Source organism: Homo sapiens, chromosome 7 (assembly GCF_000001405.40).
Source record: "Homo sapiens chromosome 7, GRCh38.p14 Primary Assembly".
NCBI lineage: Eukaryota > Metazoa > Chordata > Mammalia > Primates > Hominidae > Homo > Homo sapiens.
Genome location: NC_000007.14, coordinates 26,543,128 through 26,566,375, shown reverse-complemented (window position 1 = coordinate 26,566,375; position 23,248 = coordinate 26,543,128). Strand labels below are relative to the sequence as shown.

The following is a 23,248-nucleotide window of genomic DNA, read 5'->3' as shown; positions in this document are numbered from 1 at the left end:
CAAAACTTCTCCAAACTGAAGACAAAGCTTTGGTGGGTAGGTTGTAAGATGACCTCCAACGGTCCTTGCCTTCTGGCATTCATGGCCTCATCCTCGTGTAATACCTTTAGTGTGGGATCTCTTCTAAAAAACAGAATATGACAGAATTGATTGAATGTTACTTTGGAGATTAGAAAGTCTGTGGATTCTGTCTTGGGTTCTCTCTCTGTCTCTCATCACTTGCCCTAGTGGAAGCAAGCTGCCATGTTGTGGGCAACCCTGTGGAGACGCCATGTGGTGTGGTGGACCCTGAAGCCCTGAGTGCAACAGCCTGCAAGGAGCTGAGGCCCGCCAGCAACTATGTAAGTGAGCGTGGAGGTAAAACTTTTGGCAGTAGTTGAGCCTTATAAGGTGACTGCTGTCCTGGCCAACTGTAGCCCTTGAGAGTACTTCACGGAGACCTGGAGCCAGATGCACTCAACTACGTCACTCCTGGTCCCCTGTCCCATGGAAAATGTGACATAATACATGTTTATTGTTTTCAGTAGCCAAGTTTGGGGTAATTTGTTATACAGCAATAGACTACACTCTAGTGTAGCAATAGACTACACTCGAGTGGCACCTCCAAGGTGCCAAGCTCTGTGCTAAGCACATTCATTCAGCTGAATCCTCATAGCCCTGCAAGGTGGGTAGCATTATGTCCACTGTACAGGCAAAGGAAATGCACTATACCGGGAGTGACGCCAGTATGTAACTCACTCTCTCCTCTCCTCCAACGCTGTTTCCTTTGATTGTGGTTGCAGGAAAGTCAGGAACACTGACTCTATTTAAAGTTAAGATGACTGACCCACGCTTCTCTCCCATCAGAGCTTCTCCCTGCCCATCTGCTAGTTGCTCTCAGGTACTAGGCAGCCATCAACAATTCCTGCTGGGCATCCTCAATAGCAAATATTGCCACCATCCTCAGTGTGCAGGTCAAGCCACAGCTGGTCAGTCTCCATGCACCAAGGGTCAGCTTTCCACACTCAAGCCCGTCACCTAGAGAGAAAGCCCTGGGCCCAAAATCCTCCGTGGAGCACATCATGCCCAGGTTGGCATCGGGGTCATAATGCCTGTGAGGTCAGGGACCTCAACAATGAATGCTTCTTGTCTTCCTCAAATCCAGTCCAAACACAAGTTTAATGTTTCAGTGTTTGAAAGCCTGCATCCTTAACTAAAGCAGAAAATAGCCAAGCAAAAGGCCCACTAAGAGGTTTGGGTTTTTTGGTTTTTGTTTTTAGTTGTTTTTTTTTTTTTGGCAAAAAGATTTCTTTATCAGAGATCATTTAGAAGAAAATACAGGATAATTAAGTCACACTGGGTTGCAAGTCACAAAGCAAAATATATTTCATTTCCAATAGGTTTTTTAATGTCATAATTAGTATTTATTTATTTATTTATTTTACTTTAAGTTCCAGGATACATGTGCAGAACGTGCAGGTTTGTTACATAGGTATACACGTGCCATGGTAGTTTGCTGTACCTATTGATCCATCCTCTAGTTTTCCTCCCCTCACCCCCAACTCCCCAGCAGGCCCTGGTGTGTGATGTTCCCCTTCTTGTGTTCATGTGTTCTCATTGCTCAACTCCCACTTATGAATGAGAAAATGCAGTGTTTGGTTTTCTGTTCCTGTGTTAGTTTGCTGAGGATGATAGCTTCCAGCTTCATCCATGTCCCTGCAAAGGACATGATCTCATTCCTTTTTATGGCTGTGTAGTATTCCATGGTGTATACTTACCACATTTTCTTTATCCAGTCTATCATCAATGGGCATTTGGGTTGGTTCCATGACTTTGCTGTTGCAAACAGTGCTGCAATAAACACAAGTGTCCATGTGCCTTTATAGTAGAAAGATTTATATTCCTTTGGGTATATACCCAGTAATGGGATTGCTGGGCTAAATGGTATTTCTGGTTCTAGATCCTTGAGGAATCACCATACTGTCTTCCACAATGCTTGAACTAATTTACATTCCTACCAACAGGAACTAATCTACATTACTACCAAAGCATTCCTATTTCTCCAAAGCCTCACCAGCATCTATTGTTTCTTGACTTTTTAATAATTGCCATTCTGACTGACGTGAAATGGTATCTCATTGTGGTTTTGATTTGCATTTCTCTAATGGTCAGTGATGTTGAGCTTTTTTTCATGTTTTTTGGCTGCATAAATGTCTTCTTTTGAGAAGTGTCTGTCCATATCCTTTGCCCACTTTTTGATGTTTTTTTTCTTGTAAATTTGTTTAACTTCCTTGCATACTCTGGATATTAGACCTTTTTCAGATGAGCAGATTGCAAAAAATTCCTCCCTAACTCATTTTATGAAGCCAGCATCATCCTGTTACCAAAACTGGGAAGAGACACAACAAAAAAAAGAAAACTTCAGGCCAGTATCACTGAAGAACATCGAGGTGAACATCCTCAATAAAATACTGGCAAACTGAATCCAGCAGCACATCAAAAAACTTATCCACTGCAATCAAGTTGGCTTCATCCCTTGGATGCAAGGTTGGTTCAACATATGCAAATCAATAAACGTAATCCATTACATAAAGAGTTTTAAAATGTGTTTCCTTGGCGTCCTATTAAATTCTTTTTCAGGTACATCTTATCATTGACATTTTGGCTTTTAAAATTAGCTATATGGGTCCAATATATGTCCCACTAACATTTGAGCTGAATTGGACTCAGAGCTGGGTAATGGAGAAGCACTGAGTCTGTGAAATCTTTCATCCTCAGTTTCTTGGACAGCTCCTCAGAACTTTAGGGCTGGTCTCCAACAGTTCCCTAATGCATACAGATTTTTTTTCTAAATAGGGAAATACAATTTTCTTTTACTAAATGCTAAAAGGGTACAATCCCTATGATTTTGCTCATGTTTGAAGTCTGTGTGGTGACACCTTGCAAGATTAATAATCTTCTGAAATAATTAGCAAATTAGCTATTTCCTTTTGTCTTTCTCTTGAGGTTAAAAAAAGGTTCAACCTGATAAAGTTTCTTATTCCAGTGTAGGAAGGTGTGTGCTTGCCAATAGCACCCTCTTATTGCACCAGTGCTTCTTAGGTTTTTGTGTGCTTTCTCTTCAGCTGGGGAACAGACTGAAACACACTTCTATAGATCCAGGAGGTTTAGAGAAAGGTTCAGGTATCTATTTTTTAATCAAATCCCCAGAAGATTATAATGTACCCCATTTAAGAACCAGGGCATCTTCTTCTCAAATTACCCATGCCTTCCTCCTCGGTGAGGTAAGGAGGGGCAGGAGGACCAGGGGCTGGCACACCAGGTGGGCTCTCCAGGGCTAGGCGGGTGGGTGATGATCATCCATGCCTACAGGGGGCGCTATACTAGAGGAGGGGGCAGAACAACAAGTTGAGTCTGCAGCTCAAGTTCATCAAACTGAAAAGAAACTGCCCAACATATTGTCAACACCAAAGGGCCCATGACTAGAAAGCCAGGAACCCAACAGGAAGCTGAAAAGCAAATGCAGAGGAAGGGCCAGGGCCATTGGGAAGATCAATATTGTCTTTACTTGCAGATGGAGGTTGGAGCATGGGCGGGGAAGTTGCACCTTAAGCACCAGCATTGTCTAACAATTGGAACAGATGCAATGAATCTGCAGTTTTGCCAGTGATATTCCAGGAACGTTTGACTGAGAGAGAGGTCTTTGGCATATTAGACAAAGGTCTAATATCCACACCTGGCTGTGGAAACATAACCACTAGATGTGCCGTTAGGCTGGCCAGCTCCTAAAGAGGTAAGTGCCGTGTGGTGGCAAGACCTCAGAGCCAGAAAACAGAAGACCGAGGTTGGAATCCTGACTCTGCCATCACCACTGTGTGACTTGGACAGATCAAAGTCATCTGGAAAAAGTAGTCTTCTCGAGATGCCATTTCCTCAAGTATAGATGGGAATAGTGCCTACTTCACAGGTTTGTTGTGAGAATGAGGAAAATGACTAACACTACGTTGGCATTTGGTCACTTTCGTTAAGCTTGAGAATAGAGTTTTTGTGCTTTTATTTTTTTTATCTTTGCGATCCATACAGCAGAGTGCTTTACACATGGTGAGTACTCAAAAAATATCTGTCGAATGAACAGATTCCTAAAAATAATAAAAACAATGTAGTCCAAGTGATGTGATCCATTGATAGATAAACCAGAGGCTTACTCTGTCTGAAACCTAGCCATGCTCAGTCCTGGTGAGATTTTCAAAGCAAATGGAAAAGTAAGGGTGATGAGGGCATAAAGACTATTTAATGAACAAATGAATGAATAAATAAATACATGAATGAATAATTGGGACTAAACTAGTGCGTGGCTATTTGAGCACAAGGTACTAAATATCCACATGAAAAATGGTGCCAAGTATTTGATATGTGCTATTAAAAATTCAAGTATTTTAGTTATGTTCAAATGCATATCTGGATATCTGGGTTAGGTAAGCCAAATAACTGATAATTGACTGCATTTTTCGCTTTTAATTGAGTCTGTTGGAGGGTCATGCAGACTGAGACACTCTTGAAAGCACAACGGAAGGGAAATGCAAGGGGAAGCCACGCCCTTAGGTGGCCTTGGACTCATGAGCCCAGGTTGCCAACAGAACTTCAAAGTCACAGTAGCCATTGCAGATTCACAGAGAAGGAATTACTTTTTGATTCCATCGTAATAAAATAGGGTTCGAAGTTTTCCAAGACCTTTATCTCATAGTTTTTAATTAATGAGAATTGCATTATCTCTTAGGTTAAGTATATAATCTGCTCTGAGCTATAAAGTCCAGCTGGCAGCCAGTTATATTTGAATCTGTTCAATGAAATTTCCTAATAAAATAACTGATCAATAAATATTTGTATTGTATATGCTCTGCACTAACACGTGGTGACATAAATGCCTAGTGAGAGGTGCGTGTATGTTTATGTACATTAAACTGACAGATTTATAACCTATCAGTTTTCAATATTTTCTGAACCTTTGAAGGAAAATCCCTTGTTCAGCTTAGGTTTCTGTTATTCAAATTTACATCCAGATTTTAGTCGCCAAATGTAAGTTAGTTACCTACCACTAAGCATTTTACAGGCAGATTTTATGGAGTTGCACTAAACTGAGCATTGCAAATCTATGGTTTGCCAATTTCCTGCTTTTTTATAATATAGTAACTGCAGAATAGTAAAATAAAAGAGGCAAGAATTTCTCACTCACCTCAATCCGTGGACTGAATGCAGCAATTCAATAAGTGCAAGAGTTCTACAAGCGTCTCGACTCAGTCTTAACATTTCTCCCCACACTATGCTACTTTTGTGCAATGTTTTTCTCTAACCCCAGGAAGGGAGGATTAAGTAAATAATGAATAAGCATGTCTCATTGAAGCGATTTTGACATTTCATCTAAGTTTACATGTTAATTAAGATAAGATTGTTCTAGTCCCCCAAAAGGATTTTCTGTTTTCCTTTGAGCAACTAGACTGAAATATAGTATAAAAGTGTATGAACACTCTCTTAAATGCACAGATTTAACCCTGCTGTTTTGCTCCTAATCATTATTAATTGCCTCCAGTGGTGGACATTAATTTCCCTATTGCAGCAACATGCATCTTGAGCTTGGGCATATCCTAATACATCAAATGGGACAGGTGATATAATTCAGCTGGTCACAGCTGGAAAGGAGACAGCCACCCACATGCAGGCAGTCTGTCAACCTTAGTTACACTGCAGACACCACCACAGCCTCTGAAACAACATTGTACATTTATCTCTGGGGATAACTTTACAAGAAGTATGGCTGCTTGGTTCATCCTATTTAATCTGTTATTGTCTTAGTAGCTACAAGAACGAAACAGTGGAAACTCAAAATTCTGAATTTGTTTGAAGCCATTGAAGAGGCAAAAAGTGGAGACATATGGTTGGGCTCATGGTGCAGATAAACTGTTAAGTACTGGGTTCAGAGTGGATTATATTTTAATATAGATGTCACTGAAAGATTTAGAGTGAGCTGCTGATAATGTTAGCTGGGATGTGACTTCAGGGTCCTGCCTTGTTCTGTGGGTGTTTAGGTAGATCCTTGACAAGTTGCCCAGAGTGCCTCATGTTTACATATGGCTCTGGCTCTTGGGAACAAAGTTATTAGCTTTGTTTTCCTTGGAAATTAGTGCAATGCTGCTTAGTAGTGATACAGAAAACAGAGGTAGGATGGTGTTAGCATCCTTGATTGCATGGTTGAGAAAAGTGAGACGTTGATGGGGTTGTGTCAGGTTAGGAGTCAACCTCAAAGCTATGACTTGAACTCAATTCCTTCATCTTGGCCTCTGGGCCTGGCTCTACCTTGCAGAGGTACTTCCACTTCCTCTACAGGACTGGTTCTAGGTTAGGAAAATTCATATCAAAACCACAGTGAGATATCACCTCACACCCATTAGGATGACTATGACCCAAAAACCAAAAAATTGCTAGTGTCAGCAAGGGTGTGGGGAAATTGGAGCCCTTGAGCACTGTTGGTGGGAATGTAAAATGGTGTAGCTATTATGGAAAACAGTGGGTGGTTACTCAAAAATTAAAAATTAAAATTACTTTAAATTCATTTACCAAATGATTCTATAGATTCTATGATTCTATTACCATATGATTCAGCAATTTCACTTCATGAGTATGCATCCAAAAGAATTGAAACCAGGGTCTCAAGGAGATATTTGCACACACACATGTTCATACCAGCACTCTTCACTGTAACCAAAAGGTGGAAGCCCAACCCAAATCCATCGATGGATGAATAAACAAAATGTGGTATCTCCATTTAATATGGTTTGGCTGTGTCCCCACTCAAATCTCATCTTGAATTGTAGCCACCATAATTCTCAAGTGTCATGGGAGGGACCTGGTGGGAGGTAATTGAATCATGGGAGCAGGTCTTTCCCATACTGGTCTCATAATAGTAAATAAGTCTCACAAGATCTGATGGTTTTATAAAGGGGAGATCCCCTGCACACACTCTCTTGCCTGCCGCCATGTAAGACGTGACTTTGCTCCTCATTTGCCTTCTGCCACAATGGTGAGGACTCTGGAACTGTGAGTCCATTTAACCTCTTTCCTTTATAAATTACCCAGTCTTGGGTATGTCTTTATTAGCAGCATGAGAATGGACTAATATGCCATTCAATGGAATATATTCAGCCTTAAAAAGGAAAGAAATTCTGAGACATGCTTCAACATGAATGAAACTTGAGGACATTATGCTAAGTGAAATAAGCTAGACAAGAAAGACATATACAGTATGATTCCACTTATATGAGGTATCTAGAGTAATCGAACTCATTAAAAACAGAAGCAGAGTGGTGGTTGCCAGAAACTAGGGGAATGGGAATAGGGAGTTGTTTAATGGGTACTATTCAGAGTTTTAGTTTTGCAAGATGATATGTTTTGGAGATTGGTTGCACCAGAATGTGAATATACAATGCTACTGAACTGTATACTCAAAAATGGTCAAGATAGTACATTTTATATTATGTTTATTTTATCACAATTAAAACATTCAAGCAAACATCAAAAACCCTCATTCTAGGGGGTGGCTGTGCTCATCTCCCCTGAGTGTGTCCGTGGCCTCCCTTGGCTGCTGGTCACCCTGACAAACAGAGTAATGTCACCACCTCCCCTACTTTGCCCAGTGAGTGAGATTACCATCATCTCTGTCAATCTAAAAGCAAAGAAAGCACTCTGTGCCTGATAATGCTGGTCTGTGCTTTTCCCAGGACTCAGAGATCCAGTATCCTCAGGTCAGGTCATTGTCCACCCAGATGACCCCACTCCCAGCTCATGGTATCTCACTTGTGGCTTCTACAGGGCCTTCTCCCCACACTGTGGGCCTACTTCGGCTCTACACACAGAGGAGCACAGCTGAAAGGGCAGCGCAGTCCACAGACCGCAACACAGGGGCCACCTCCTGCAGAGGACCTTCCAGATGGCAGCAGAAGCCTGGCTAAGAAGCACATATCAAAATATGTACCCATCAGTATAAAAAGATATTTGGAATATAAATGGTAAAAGCATATTATAACACCACATGTGTAATATATAATTTTAATTAAAAAAATAGATTGATAAATAGAAAAGTCTAATGGATTATCTCACACAATGTTCAGTGAATGGTAGAATTATGGGTGATATTTTCTTAATTTTTTCTTCATGCACCTATATTTGTACTTTTTTTGCTCTAATTATATATATTAAAATTCTGTTTAGAAGTTAGTTTGTCATAGTAACAACATTTTTAAAAATAGCCTAAAGTGGCTGGGCGTGGTGGCTCACGCCTGTAATCCCAGCACTTTGGGAGGCCGAGTTGGGCGGATCTTTTGAGGCCAGGAGTTCGAGGCCAGCCTGGCCAACATGGTGAAACCTTGTCTCTACTAAAAATACAAAAAATTAGCTGGGCATGGTGGTGCGTGCCTTAATCCCAGCTACTAGGGAAGCCGAGGCAGGAGAATTGCTTGAACCTGGGAGGCAGAGGTTGCAGTGAGCTGAGATCACGCCACTGCACTCCAGGCGGCGTGACAGAGCAAGACTCTGTCTCAAAAATAAAAAATAAAAAAAAATAGCCTAAAGCCCATAGGTGTCTTGCCAGAGAACACAGAAAGAGACAGTTGGAAAAACCAGGGGTGCCAGGTCAGTTGCTCTTGCAGACAGGTACTCAAGTGCTCCTCTTCTGCTTCAACTTCATGGACACAGACAACAAACCAGGCAGGGATTGCTGGACCTTCTACACCAAAGCATTCTTGGGATTTTCCTTACCACCCCACCCCCCACCACTTCCACTGTCCAAATTCTGCCCATCCATTAGAAGATAGTTCAAATAAAACCTCCCCCTAGTGAGGTGCAATCCCTCACGGCATTTTCTTTCATGTCCCTTTCTGCAGTTATTACATCCTGCCTCGTACTACAGTTACATGTGGACTTGCCTTCTCTTTCTTATTAGATTATAAGCTCATTGAGGGCAGACTCCACATCTGATGCATTTGTGTGTCCCCAGCACAGTGTCTGCCTCACAGCGAGCTCCGGTTGGATAGCTGCTGAATGAATGAGTCAGTGAGTGAGTGAGTGAATGAATGAATAAATGACACGATTGCTGAACTCTCCATGAGCAAAGCAACAAAGCAAGTCAGGCAGGGCAGATTTTTTTCATCATTTCTGGGTTGGTTTGTATTTTATCCAAAACACCAATTTTTACATTCAGAACTTCTTTTTCATCATCCCAGTTTTTATTCCTTGAGCTTAGTAAGAATTATAATAAGAACAAGTATAATGTTTGTAACTGTCATCTATCTCAGTTCATATTTTAAATAATATGGATCTATTTTCACCTCAGGAAAGGCAGATTTATATTACTTACATTTACTTTAACATGGAGCTCAGACATTTTATACCAAGAGTGAAGCAAACTGCCACACAGTATCAGATTTTAATAAGACAAATCCCACACTTGCGGTGACCCTGCTTCCTTCCTTGCTTTTCTCTCCCCTGCTTTTCCAGAGGAGATTCTTGCAGGATCCAGGACCTGGCGTTGTTCTCTTCCAAGTCCTCCACTGCAGCTGCATATCTCTCTCTCATTCTGCTTTTTCTCGGAAGAATCTTAGCTCCCCTGCAAAGCTGGCATCACATGTCTTTGAGCTTGAACTCAAAGGGCTGGCTTAGCTTCAGCACTAGGCCCTCCCTGCAAGGTTTGCTGTCCCTTACCTGCCTGCCAGTTCTGTTCAGCCTGTTTTCCACTACAGAGGAGGTGAGATTCACAGCCAGGCGGGCAATGAAGGGCTTCAGATGGCAGATAGACCACGTCCTGCCAGCGCTGCCTCAAACCTGGAGCTCCTCTGGGGTTGCTATCAGGGACTCAGGCATGACATTTTTGTTATCTAGGCAGAAAAGTGTGTTTGGGTTAAACTGCCAGGGCCATCATGTCACTGAGTTCTCTGCCGAGCCCCAGACAGGCATTCCCTATCAGTGATAGCTACAGCAGGCTGGGATCAGCTGCCTTGCCCCCCTGAGCAGCCTGCTTTCTGCTAGCCGTAGTGTTTACAGGGCATCTCGGGCAGCTGCCAGGGCTGGAATCAACATTCTCCCTGAGCTTGCAAGGAACAAAGACTGCTACTAAAGATGCACTTGAAGGGAAAAGCATGACAAAATGTCCTGTGACTTCAGAGATGCCTTTTGCAGCATCGTACAGTCATGCTGTTCATTAAAAGAGTTAAACTTGGAAACTAGACTTTGATGCAATACGTTGTTTCCATTCTTGGAAATACGTTCACGAGGAGCTAATAAATAATCCATGAATGCTAATCTTTTTAAGTCATTTCAAAGGCATGAAGTCAGCCTAGATAATTGTAAATGCAACGGCTCAACCTCAACTCCATTAAAATGTAAAGGTGAGAACTGATTACAGACACTCAACTGCTTTTGATAGAAGTCTTAAATTCAAATGCCACATCATTTGTTTTTAGCAAATGGAGTAATTACAATAATATTTTCTTCATTTCTAAGGTCAGATCTCTTAAATCCTATATGCTTGTACCCGATTTAACTACAACCGGAATCATTTTCCTTGTGTTCATTAATTAAATGTGTATGTTGCTTAAAGGTAACATCCACTCTTATTTTCTCTGAAGGAGAAATAAATAAATATTCTAAGTTGTCTAGCAACGAGGTTAGAGGGGAGAGTTGTAACATTATTTCATTTCAGATATTATTAATAAAACTGAAATTAACCTTATTTCCCACTCTAGTAACTGTTCTTGCTGAGAAAAGGTAGTTTTGTTTAAAGCAAAGGTGTTTTCCTACTGCTGTAGCTTGTCAAATATACTGTGATTTAAATTTTAAAAAATTAAGAAATAATTCACTTGACGATAAAGTCAACGCCTTTTAATATTCTTGCAGCATCACCGCCCAAAGTAGATTTTGTAAATATTTACCTCTTGTGGGAATTGTGGTATATTGACCAATATATATTTTTCCAGGATTTTGGTAAATATCTGAGAAGTTTCTTATAGGAGAAAACTATATACAAGGTTTTATTGTTTCAAGTGCACCTGGATTCTAACTAAGACCCAAAAAAGGAACTGATCACTTCTTACTATAAATTAAAAGGTTTCCTTTGCCCCCTACCTCCTGGCTGTCAGGTAATTAAGCTCCGGATGTTGGTCACCATGCAGAAGTAAAGTGAGGATGCCGGAAGCAGTCAATCCATTTGTTTAGGACAGGCAAGTCTGGTTATAGCTGGACCCAGAACCCTCCAGATGCAGCAGTCTTCTGCGCTGTCAAAATATTTAACTTTCCTGCAAACATGCAGCTGTCAGTCTACTTGCAGGAATCTACCAAAACCAAAGGATTAAGTGTGATTCAACAAAGCAATGAACACTGGCCAGATATGAGCCATGGGCCCAACTTGTCCAGTCCCTGGGCAGGGTTCTAACCAGAGGTGCCAATCTAGGGAGCGCCTTCCAAAATATCTATCTGCAGAGGTTCTGATTCCCGGGTCCGACAGCACCCCGATGTCTGTCATCTGGTGATTCTGGTATGCCATCCTAGGGAAGAAGCACTCATGCTTTATTTTTCATCTGCTTATGTTTTAGAAAGAAAGCATAGGGGTGAGGGTAGGCTGGAGGATCAACCTGGAAACATTTAACACAGGCTAACAGAAGCTGGGGGAAGCAGCACTCTTCTGACACCCAGAGCGGGACTGCAGTGTCATGTGGGTCTGTGTTTCAGTCTTGCTCATCTTGGCTGGGTAGCCTTGGAGCCACAATTTATCTTCCCCAAGACTCAGCTTTTCTGTCTGTAAAACAGGATAGTAATACTACCTCCTTCATCAAACTATTATGAGAATTAAGGGAGCTAATGTGCATAAAACAAAGGCAATTAACGTAATGTTTAGCACATAGTAAGTGCGGTGACTATTTGTAGTTTTGTAGAATGTCTGCAAATGATCTACAGGGCTCAGAAGGCTTTAAAGATGTTCTCATCCAACTCCCTCTTGTGTATCAATTACATTCCATGGGAAACTTGAATTGGTTGGCTCAGAGCAGGGATTCTGGGAGACATGTTTAGAGCACAGGGAGAGGCTAGTTTGAAAGGAGGGTTTGAAGATAACCTTGATGAAGGATTTTGAATGTCATTGTGATCAGCAAGGGAGGCAATTAAGACAAACTTTCCTTAGTGGATGTTACATGCTCCAAGCGTCAGTTTAGGACCCAAACAGATGGCTAGGCATAGACCCTGTGGATAGGAGGGAAGATGGCAGAGGTGGGAGTAGTTCTGTCATTTTGTGGGAGGGGTGTGAAATATGTGGTCTTGGCCTGGTGAGGACGAAGAGAATAGAAGAGCTGGGAAGGAAGAGAACAGCTGAAATCTAAAGAATGCATGGATGGAGTGGAAGATGAGACAAAGGTGGGGCTGGGGGTCACTTCTCTGTTTTGAGTCTGAGCAGAATTATTTCTGTGTTTGTGTGCGCCCTGGTGGTGAAAATTTCTGCAAGGAGCTTTAGGGTCATGCTGTCTTGTTAGCTTAATAATGGTTTGATTGCACCCATCTGTGTTCCCTGGGGCAGGATCTTTATCACCTGCATGTAGACTTACATCGCTGTGAATTCTGTACACATAGGAGGGTAATAAAAAGCAACCGAGGCTTATTTAACACTCACTGTGTGTGTGCCAGGCATTGAGGTAACTTTTTAGCTTTCATAACAACCCTAAGAGGGAGATATTATTGTTATCCCCATTTCACAGGTGAGGGAACTAAGGCACTGAGAGGTCAAGTGGTTTTTGAAAGCTTTCCACTGAGTCAAGGGGGAAGTAGCATTTGAACCCAGGCAGCAGTGTGGCTGCAGAGTCCTGGCCCTTGATTCCTGGGAAGAAATGAACACAATTTACCCAGTCTATGAGACTAAACAGGGATCTTACTGGGATTCAAACCAAGTTAGACTCCAAAGCCCAGGCTCTTTCCTTTGTGGCACACCTGACCCATTAGCAATTCAAAAACCACATTCAACCAATAAGGCAAAGGGGAAATGGGGTAAAAGTTGTCTAACGGCTCAGAGAAGCAACTTGGCAGTACTATAGGGAAGTAACATTTAGCAGATTTTCTCTTCATAGAATATAAAACTTGTATGAAAAGAGGCGCTTTCAAAAATATTTTGAGATTTTTTTGCACACTAAGCTCACACTACATAGGAAAAGGTCCATCAGCATAAATATGAAGTTATTCTATTGTTAGAGGGTTGGTAGGTGGGAATGAGAGTGTTTTGAAGTATCAGTTGTATAAAGGGGATTTTTTCACATTTTCCCATACGTCCCTTCTGTATCGTTTGAGTCTTTTTAAATGATATTGTATTTGAGGATTATTTTTCTAATTTAAAAATAATTTTGAAAAATAGAGAAATAGAAACTTCAGGTACTTAGGCAGAAATAAGAAAGTCCTAGTGACCCAGTGATATAAACACATATTTACAGTTAGTGTTCTGAAAACAAGTAAATAATTCCAATGTAACTAAACTTTACACCTATGTGTGTGTGTGTGTGTGTGTGTGTGCATGCATGGATGTCTGGATGCACATGTGTGTGCATGCATGGATGTCTGGATGCACATGTGTGTGCATGCCTGTGTGTGCGCGGGCGTGTGTGTGCACAGGCACACGTAGACACCTCACAGGAAGGCAGGCTGAGGTTGGATGCAGCAGGCTACTTAATTATCCCTCATTTCATTGAAGGAGGAATCTCACAGAAGCATCATAGATTCCAGGAGGCAAATCTACAAAACTTGGTAGTTACAGAAGAAATGATCCAGTATCAAGATGAGGCATTGCACCTTCAACGAGTGAGAGGAAAAAGCCAAGAAAAAGCCAGCCAACAGTTAAGCACCTGCTGCCTGTTACTGCTTCTACTCAGTGCACCTCTCAGTTCCACACATTCAGTAATGGGGCCAGCCTCACAGGCCAAGGGATGGCGAAGATGTATTCTCACATCCGTTTGTAAGAAGGGAGCTAAGCAGAGTGACACAAATCTAGTTTGCCTGGAACGATCCCAGTTGACCCCTTCTGAAGTCAGTCCTCTCCTGTCCTTTCCATCCCTCCTCTGCACTCCCTCTACCGAGGATAAGACAACACCCCTCTGGTCCCAGAAACTTACCTCTCTCCATTGCCCTGTGCAAGGTAGATGAAGTCTTACGTGTAGCTCAAGCTTCAGGTGAAGTCCTGGATGACGCGGAGAGGAGAAACTGAGGTCACCGGGGACCTCATAACAATGCTGAAGAAGTTAAACTCCTAGAGTGGAATAAAGCTGGGTGTGTGGAGAACACATTCAACACTCCTTTGACACCAAAACACCATGCAAATAAGCAGTCATGAGCCTGGAGTCCGAGAAAAGAAAGGAACACACACACACGTGTACACAACTCACACACACGGAGGAACACATGCTTTTAGAATGATCAGGTGCTTAAAGAAAATAAAAGGAGAATGGACATTGCCCTGTTCTTTTCTGAGAGGCAGTCACTGGAGTGGGTAAGAACCCCAGCTCCGGATTCAGACGTGCCTGAGTCTGCAACCCAGCTCAGCCACTAACTACGTAAACCTGTTTTATTAACTGTACAATGGGAATAATAAAAGCACCAGGCTCAAAGCATTGTTGTGAAGTTTTAAAGATTAATGTGATGATGCAGATAAAGTAACCACAGTAATTATTCAATAAATGTTAGCTAGTGCTGCTATTATTGTGGATACATTATGACAACATCATGATAAAGGTACATTGTGACCTTAAAAGAATATTTTACTGGAGCATTGTACATGCTGCATAAATGTTAATTGTTATTATTATTACAATTTTTAGTTCAGCCAGTGTAGCAATTTATCACTACAATGGCAAGAAATTGCTACTCTGGTTCTTGACAGTGGGTTTGCCACCTTCTGCTGTCTTCCTGGTTTTCACTCCACATGGGAGTGAGGCGGCCGCTGAATGCCAGGGCTATGTCAAGTCTGGGATTCTTAGTGGACTTCTCCACAAACACGGTGCCTATTAGGGGAAAAAGTCTCTAGAATTCTCCTGGCCCAGCCTTGAACATCTTCCAGTAGGAACTGAGGAGAGCTTCCGATGCAAAATAAGAGGAAAAGAAGGCAGTGGGGTAATTTACCACTGAAAAGATTTCCCCATTAGACATTTTTACAGCATCAAACTTGGTGGGGGAGGGGGTTTCTCCTGGCACGATTCTGTTTGTTTCCTCCTTTTGTGGCACGAACAACAGCATTTCATATTGAAACATGAAGCCTCTAAAATTAGGATGGCGGCCAGAAATTTGTAATGGGTGCTTCACACCGTTCACACTCCTGCTTCACCCTCCTGGCTCCACTCAGCCGAGGGCAGCTCCACCCTGCAAGAAACTCGCAGCTCAATTTGGAGCAAGTTTTGCTTGCTGAGGGGAGGCTGCTGTCAATGGCACCGAATGCCAAGCAAGGAAGCAGACCTGATTCGTTTCTAGGCTTCATCACCAGCTGCTTCTCCCTCGGCCTCCTCAGCCCCCAGCTGCCTGGGTTCGAATCCCAGCTCTCTGCTCATCAGGTGTGTAACCCTGGGCGATGACTCCACCTCTGTGAGCTTCCACGTCTGCAGCTGTCAGGTGAGAATAACAATGGGACTTGCATCAGACAGTCATTGGGATTAAGTGAGATAAGGAATGGGAAGGCACTGAGTGTACATAGTAACCACTCCTAGGTGTCATCTCCTTCCTCCTTCCTCCTTCTTCTTCCTCCTCCCTCTTCCTCCTCATTTTTCTTCTTCTTTTTTTTGACAGAGCCTGGCTCTGTTGCCCAGGCTGGAGTGTAGTGGCATGATCTCAGCTCACTGCAACCTCCACCTCCCAGTTCAAGCGATTCTCCTGCCTCAGCCTCCCAAGTAGCTGGAATTACAGGCACATGCCACCACGCCCGGCTAACTTTTAGTATTTTTTGTAGAGACAGAGTTTTACCATGTTGGCTAGGCTGGTCTCCAACTCCTGTCATCCCAGGACTTTGGGAGGTCTGCCCACCTCAGCCTCCCAAAGTGCTGGGATTACAGGCATGAGCTGCCACTCCCGGCCTCTCTTCTTATTATTAAGCAGATTGGCATTTCCTGAGCACCTGCTTTGTGCCACACCTGATGCCAGGTGCTTCACTCATGTGGTCTTGATGAATCTTCACAACCTTGAAGGGCAGGCGTTGTCATCTGCACGTATGTGCAAGGGAGCTGAGTTCCAGAGCTAAAGCCGCTTGTCTCCAGACAATCCCAGAGGGTACAACTGGGATTCCACTTTAGGCTCTCTGATTTCAAAATCTTGCTCTCCCTACCACACCCCCAACGTGGAGGCCTCACAAATAATGCCTTTCCGTGGGGCTCAGGGTCTTCAGACTGTGGTCTTGGCTTGGCTGTGGGTCTTTTCCCAAGAGCACGCAGCACAGCCGAGTCTGCTCCAGGCTTCGTGGTTCCTGCTCAAGCCATTTGTGGGGCAGGATGTGAGGTGAGGGGCGCTCATGTTGCCAGCCTGGCTTATCTGCTTTGGGGCCTTCCTGGCTCAGCCTACAGGTTCGTGACTTGGCACAATTACAGTGACCACAATGAAGCCACTGGCTTTGCCCAGAAGCTACTCAGGCCAGGAGCCTGAGAGGAAACAGGATGGGAGCTGGTTTATATTTCAAGGGCTGGAGATGACGGGACCAGCCCCACCCCAGCTTCCCACCTGATTTTATCTTGTAAAAACAGCCCTTTCATTATTCTGTTGGACCTCCCATTATTTCAAGAACCAAAAACTGAAAGAAAATGATTTTTTTCTCTCTCATACCTGGCCTGCTCTCTATTGCAAATGGCAGTTCTAGGGACAGTTGTCCACCTGCTGTTTTTCACCTGTAGGGGTCAGCTGCTGGCTGGGCTACCTGGCAGCCATTCCCCCTTCTTGGTTCCCGTGTCTGGATTTTCCTCTAGAGCACCCTTTCCCCTCTCTTAACTCTTGGGCTTTGGGTGGGCACCCACCCCGGGGCTCAGGGGTGCAGCACGTGCTCAGCTCGAGCCCATCTGAGCATAGCGTTGCACTGACCACAGGACTGGTATCAGTTCATTGAGATGGAAGTCCACTGAGATGATATCCACTCTACTGAGACAAAAAGAACTCTTTTCTAGGACTTCTCAAAACTCATTTTGAATTGCTTACCATCAAGGGAAGAAATAAAGAAGCTTTTCGCTGTCTTTACATCCTTTCTGGCATACCCCTGAGTATCCCTGGAGGTAGGTGTCCCCTGTTTGAGAAGCATGGGCCTACAGGTAAATTCCAAACCCCTATCCACTCCATGGAAAGCTCTTTACAATTTGACATAGCCAATCTATTCAGCCCCATCTCTGGCCACAGAGTTTCTTGCCATTTCGGGAACAAGCCATGCTCTGCCATTCCCCTCGACTTTTGCACAAGCTGTTCCCCTTGCCTGGAATATCTTTCCCCTTCTATACCTAGAAAATTCTACCCATGCATCCAACTAGAACCACATCAACTGTCTCCTCCTTAGAAGGAGGAGAATAACGTTCCATAATTTTAGCTGCTCTCTCATTGGTTAGAACACTCACTTGACCTTGGCTTGTCTGATTCTCTCTTCCTCACTGGACTATAAGCATGTCCTAAGCACATCTGCATCCCCAGAAGCTAACACAGAGCCTGACTAAAGGTTTATTGGATATGTGGGTGAGTGGATGAAGGGACCATTGAGCTTCGACCAGCTCATGCAACTGCCACAGCATCCTGCCCCATCAGTAACAGTAAACAACATTTATCCTGGTTCCTACACAGTCATAGTTCTATTTATTAATTGCCAAATTCATAACAATTAATTTCATTGCTCATGCCTGTTAAACTCTCGAATGTTCAATAAGGACAGGTGGGCAGCTGTTCTTCCTCCGTAGTCTACCTGCTTTCTGACATCAGCCAGTGAAGGAGTCAATCCCAGTGGTATGGCAGAATTGGGCTAGATGCTCATCCACCCCATTTCCTGTCTTTCTTGGGCACACAGCTAGACTATATTTCCCAGACTCCCTGGCTGTCAGGTGTGGCCATGTGACAGAATTCCAACCAATGGAATATGGACAAAAGTGACAAACCATTTCCAAGTCTGGGCCATGAGAACTACCCATGTGAAAACTTCTGTGCTTTCCCCAACCCCAAGCTGGAAGCAAAGGGTTCCGAGGCTCCTAAGAGGAATGGAGATTCAAAATGGAGAGAGCCTGGGTCCCTGAGTCACCATGTGGAGAGCCACTGTCAAATATCCATGCTGGACTGAGTTGTAAATGAGAAATATTTTCTATCCTGAAACTCAGTGGTGTGTGGAGCTGGCTTATATTAGCTTGTGAGAGCCAGCTGTTAAATTCTGAGGAATTTTGCAAGTCCATTGTTAAACACAGTCATTATCAAAGTTAAATTGTATAAACTTATAATTAAATGGGTTACATTTTAAGATATAATGAATATTCAAAACTCATCCCATCCTAATCATTTTATATAGTTAACTATTACATATGGCTCTTGAGGTTTATTTTCATGGAAGTACGATGGAATGGGAGTGTTGCAAACATTTCTTCCCAACTCTGTATTCAATAATGTCATGTTGGTAGCTTGAAATCAGCCACAGTGTCAGTATTTACACCATGGAAATTGGCAGACATTATAAACCAGGCTTTTCCCCTCCATCCCCTGAAAAAAGGCCAAACATTTACCAGTACACCATTCTAAGGTTTACCTGGTATGGAGCAAATACTCCCCTAACATACTGACTTTCTGCTTTAGTAAAAGAGAGTATAACAGATGAAATGCACCTTGGCTAAATGCAACTCGACATAAAGGAAAAGCAGCCAGAGTGCCCACAGCAGCAGCCCAGAGCCCTGGCAGATGAAGAATCATGCTGGTGCTCAACATGCCCAGGCTGAATGTGATATTGCGTGCTTGAGATCCTTGCTAATTTTCAGAGCATGAGATTATTATGACAGAGGCACAGCAGTTGTCATTGCCTGCTTTCACATGTATTGGGTGACAAGTGTAAGTAAGAGAGAATGGAAATATAGATGCTGAGTTTTAAGCCCAGCTCTTGCCTCAGAAAACAAAAATGGAGACACGCTAAGTTCCTGCCCTAAATTCTTTTGGGGAAAGGAATTTTTCCATATTTTCACTCTCAGGAAAAGCATGCATTTTGGAACAAGTCTCTAGAGTGGACCTATGCATAGCTGAGAAGCTGAGAAGGTGGGAAGCCCGTGGCCAAGGCAGGTCCCGGCTGCAGGTGTGAGGATAGCAGGCTTTGGGCCAGAGCCTGATCAACGGTGCTTGGAATTAACCAGGCCTGCACATGGCAAAATGATCCAAATAATTATCCTTTGTGGAAGCCGTAATATTTCACTTAGAGGAAGGCCGTCAGATCCTTGGGCAGCTCGGCCCTCCTCCGCAGGATATAAACTGCTGAAGTAGACCCCAGAGTGCAGGGCCATTTACGAAGACACACGCAATTCACAGGACGTTTCAGTGCAGACACTGAATGAACTAATTCTGCTAATAGAGTATTTGATTTAATGGCACATTAAAGGGGAAAGGGGAATGCTGAACACATCCTTCAGCGCAGCAGCTGATGGGTTACTGTAGATATCATAAGCGAAGGAGCCAAATTCTCTCCTGCCTTCAGAACAAGCGACAGTCGCCAGAGCAGAGGCAGGTCATTTTGCAAGTCAATTTTAGTTCAGCAGCTTAGAGCAGAAATCATCGAGTTCATACAGCTCTTCTGCATAAAGTTTATAGAGACTGGTTGTTAAGACTCTGACCTACAAGTCTCTTTTCCTTTTTGTTTAAAAAAAAAAAAATGTTGCCAGATCATGCCAAAGTGGAATAAAATAGAAATCGGGTCACTTGATGGATCAGCACATTACTTTTCTGAGTTGTTTGTTTTCCGTCTTTTGCCTTTTGGTTCCTTCTACCATTTTTGACTGTTTCCAATGTCCCGGTCTCTGTGCTAAGCTCTTCACAAGAATGTATATGTATTTACATGTATTTCATTGTTTTACCAGGAAGAAGGTGCTATTCCCAGCCTATTTTACAGGCAAAGAATCTGAGGTATGGAGGGGCAGGAATGAGATTTAAACTCAGGTTTTTCTGCCTCTGGAAGCTGGCTTCTTAATTAACTCTACAAAGCATGATCCTTTCAGCCAGAAGATGGAAGGTAGGACAGATTGTGCCAAGTCCTGGAGAATCTACAAGAAGCCTACTGTAGCCATTGTGTACAATGCAAACCAGAGGAAAAAGTAGCCAGATGGGGTGAGAGGTGAGCTGAGCTCATCAAACACCACCACCTCCCAAAAAAGCCCAAGCCATGGGATACTGAGGCAGGAGGATTGCTTGAGCCCAGGAGTTCAAGGCTGCAGTGAGCTGTGGTCACACCACTCCAACCTGGGCGACAAAGCAAGATCCTGTCCCCGCAAAAAATGTTTTTTAAATCCCAAGCCAGAAGCGATTTGTTTAGAGAATCAAACAAATATGTGTGTGTGCATGTGTATCCCCAAAAACATATATTCAGAGCAAATCTTTTAATTTTTCGATTTCAAATTCAGTTCAGTTTTTTAAAAAGTGCTTGCCTTAAAACAACCCAATTGGAATTTTATAGAATTTTTTTTTCAATAAAATTTTACCATCTATCTTTTCTCCCCCAAAAGCCAAACCGTAATTGTAAACAGTGGCAAATATGAGTGATTTTCATTTGTTCAGTTTGTAACTGTCCATAGCCCCCTCCTATCTATTGTTTCACTCAGCTGCCAGGATGTTTTCTCTGAAACTGAAATCTGATCTTGGCAATCCCTTCAAAGAGTTTTCTCATAAAATAGGGGCTCACTTTTCCAGCATGACCCCCTAAAGCCTCCACCGTCCAGTCCAGCTCACCTCTCTCCCCATCTGCCCACTTTTCCCTCTAGCTTGCATTGCACACAATGGCTACAAGAGGCTCCTTGTAGATTCTCCAGGACTTTGTGCAATGCGCCTTCCCCATTCTTTGACTAGATAATTCAGAATCCCTGCTTCTTTTTTGAAATCAGTGCAGTGTCTGCCCCTCCAGTGAGTCATTGTGGATTCATTCTCCTTGCCCTATCTGGGTTGGAGGCTGCTTCTATCAGAAGCCTGAGCTTACTTCTATCACAGCCGTGTTCCATTTTGTCACCCTGGACCATGAGGACAGGGACAATGTTCTGTGCACCATGGTATCCTCAGTGCCTGGCACAGCGACTCAATGTTGACTGCGTGATAGAATCACCCAGAAAGTCTGACTTAGTCAGAGGTAGGTAGGGTTGAGAACCTCTGGCCTAATCCAGGCTTGCTGACCAACTGATTGAATGAATGAAAGAATGAATGAACACACTGAGGCACACAGCCTTGAGACCCTGGCCAGCCTCCACCACTCACTCTGCCCTGAAGTACTTAGAATTTGTTTAACAAGGCTTCTTGGTCATGCACTGGGTCAGGAGGCTGCAAATCCAGACCCAGAATGTTCATGAACTCCTTGTTGACTTTAAGACTGAAAGTGAACTTCCACTTGGCCCAATACACAAAACCGGAATGATGATTCCTACCACAAGGAGAAACTTGAAAAATGCTTTCTGCAATTGGATGGCAGATGCTGTGAAATTACCAGTTCTGACTCAAAATGATCTCCCTTTTCTCCCTGATCAGCTCAGAATCAAGATGTCTGCCAGCCAAGAATACCAGAAGCCTTGGTGGCAGGAAGGAGTGCTACCGCTGCCTGAGAACCACTGGTAACACCTTCCTGTGCTAAGGGCCCATCGTCCTAACACAGGCTGTGCCTCAGGCAGAAGCTTCCTCTTCCTTCCTATATGCCCCATCTCTGAGATCACAGTAGGAGAAACCTCACCATCACAGCCAAGACCGGAATGCCAGTCATGGATCCATCCAACCTCATCCTTCCATTGCTGAGAACTGTAAGCATGGAGAGAGAGACCGCTGGCTAAGCCTGCACTCCTTTGTCCTCATTCTGAGGGGAAAAAAAGCCAGAAGTCCTAGAGAGTTTAGCTTGCAGAGCCCAATCTCACACACTATAAAATAGTTGGAGATCTCTTACATTTGAAAAATCACAGCTGCATGCTCTGCCTTCCAGCACCAGGCAGGAGAAATGAGACAAACAAGCTTTGAAAATAAATCTGACTCTCTCGCGGCTCCGGATAGCCGACAAGTGTTCGTCCATCTGCCGCAAGCGTTCACACTGTGAATTCATTGATTTGATAATACTCTCGCATAATTGATTAAGGAGAGACTGGCTTCTTGACTTGCCTCCATGTTTTCTGTCTGATGTCTTCCCAGCATTGCTCTCTGCTTTACGCATGGCGAGGAAGGAGAAACCAATGATTTTTTCCAGCACTTTTCAATGGGATACATGCATGCTATTGGTTATCCCAAAACGGTGTATTTTTCAAGTTCTTGAATGGCAGCAACTGTTAGGTGTGTGCTTCTTTCCCCCAAAATATTTCTCCCAATCTTCACAATGCCGTCTTCATCCTCTCCACCCCACTGCCCCATTGTATTTATAGGAAGTGAAGAAAAACCAGAGGTCCATTGGCGCCTAGCAGTCACCATCGCCTGACACAGAGCGATGGTAACTGCAGAATTGTCATATGAGATATTAGCCCAGGGAATAACACTGATCCTTCTCCTATCAGCAACTGCAACAACCCATCCGCCTCTCTGCAATTGTGACATTCAGATGTCACCACCATTTCATTAAATGGAATCAAAACAGCTGTGAGGATTGCTGTTTTATTTTATAGCACAAAGTCATCATAACTTACGTCACAAAGCAGCTTGCAGCTAGCAAGCACGGCTGAAATGGAAAAGCTGATTGCAAAAGGATGAATACGAAAGAGGGACAAACTGCCAAACAAACTGCTGGTGGAGCTGGGTGATAGCTGCGAGCCCCTGGCTCGCTGAAAATAACCCAGGAGCACACGGTCATGCAGTCACTTGCAATTGCCTATTAATCAAAGATGTATCATAGGACAAGTTGAGTTTAGCATCCCATGAACATGCACCTAGATGCTAAGATTCAGTTCAGCCTAAGAGAGATCACTATCTGGCCACTTCTAGGTGCAGAAGCTAAGGCAGTGTAACACTTCCAGTTCCCTTTCTCCTATCTGCAATACAGCACCCAGCCCTGACTCAGTGAAAA

At 43.3% G+C, this 23,248-nt stretch overlaps 2 long non-coding RNA genes across 5 annotated transcripts, besides 1 other annotated feature; one reads left to right on the top strand and one right to left on the bottom strand.

Moving 5' to 3' along the window:
• Positions 1–7,495: 7,495 nt before the first annotated feature.
• LINC03095 (long intergenic non-protein coding RNA 3095) lies at positions 7,496–14,537 on the bottom strand. 4 transcript variants are annotated; one of them, NR_184280.1, is made up of 4 exons: positions 14,166–14,537; positions 11,457–11,567; positions 11,149–11,354; positions 9,233–9,902 (listed from the first exon to the last, which is right to left on the bottom strand). It is a non-coding gene; the product is annotated as a long intergenic non-protein coding RNA 3095 (long non-coding RNA). The 4 variants fall into 4 exon arrangements; NR_184281.1 differs by lacking the exon at positions 9,233–9,902 and adding an exon at positions 7,496–7,978 and having other exon boundaries at positions 11,149–11,567; NR_184282.1 differs by lacking the exon at positions 11,457–11,567.
• Positions 15,358–16,557: an enhancer, noted in NCBI's record as "MED14-independent group 3 enhancer chr7:26589438-26590637 (GRCh37/hg19 assembly coordinates)". NCBI's record gives its function as "activates an origin of replication core promoter dependent on BRD2, BRD4, P300/CBP and CDK7 cofactors, and independent of MED14, by STARR-seq in HCT116 cells {active_cell/tissue: HCT116}" and the evidence as "EXISTENCE:reporter gene assay evidence [ECO:0000049][PMID:35650434]".
• On the top strand, positions 15,383–22,821 carry LOC124901605 (uncharacterized). The gene is made up of 2 exons (XR_007060263.1): positions 15,383–15,651; positions 21,742–22,821. It is a non-coding gene; the product is annotated as an uncharacterized LOC124901605 (long non-coding RNA).
• The last annotated feature ends 427 nt before the right edge of the window (positions 22,822–23,248 follow it).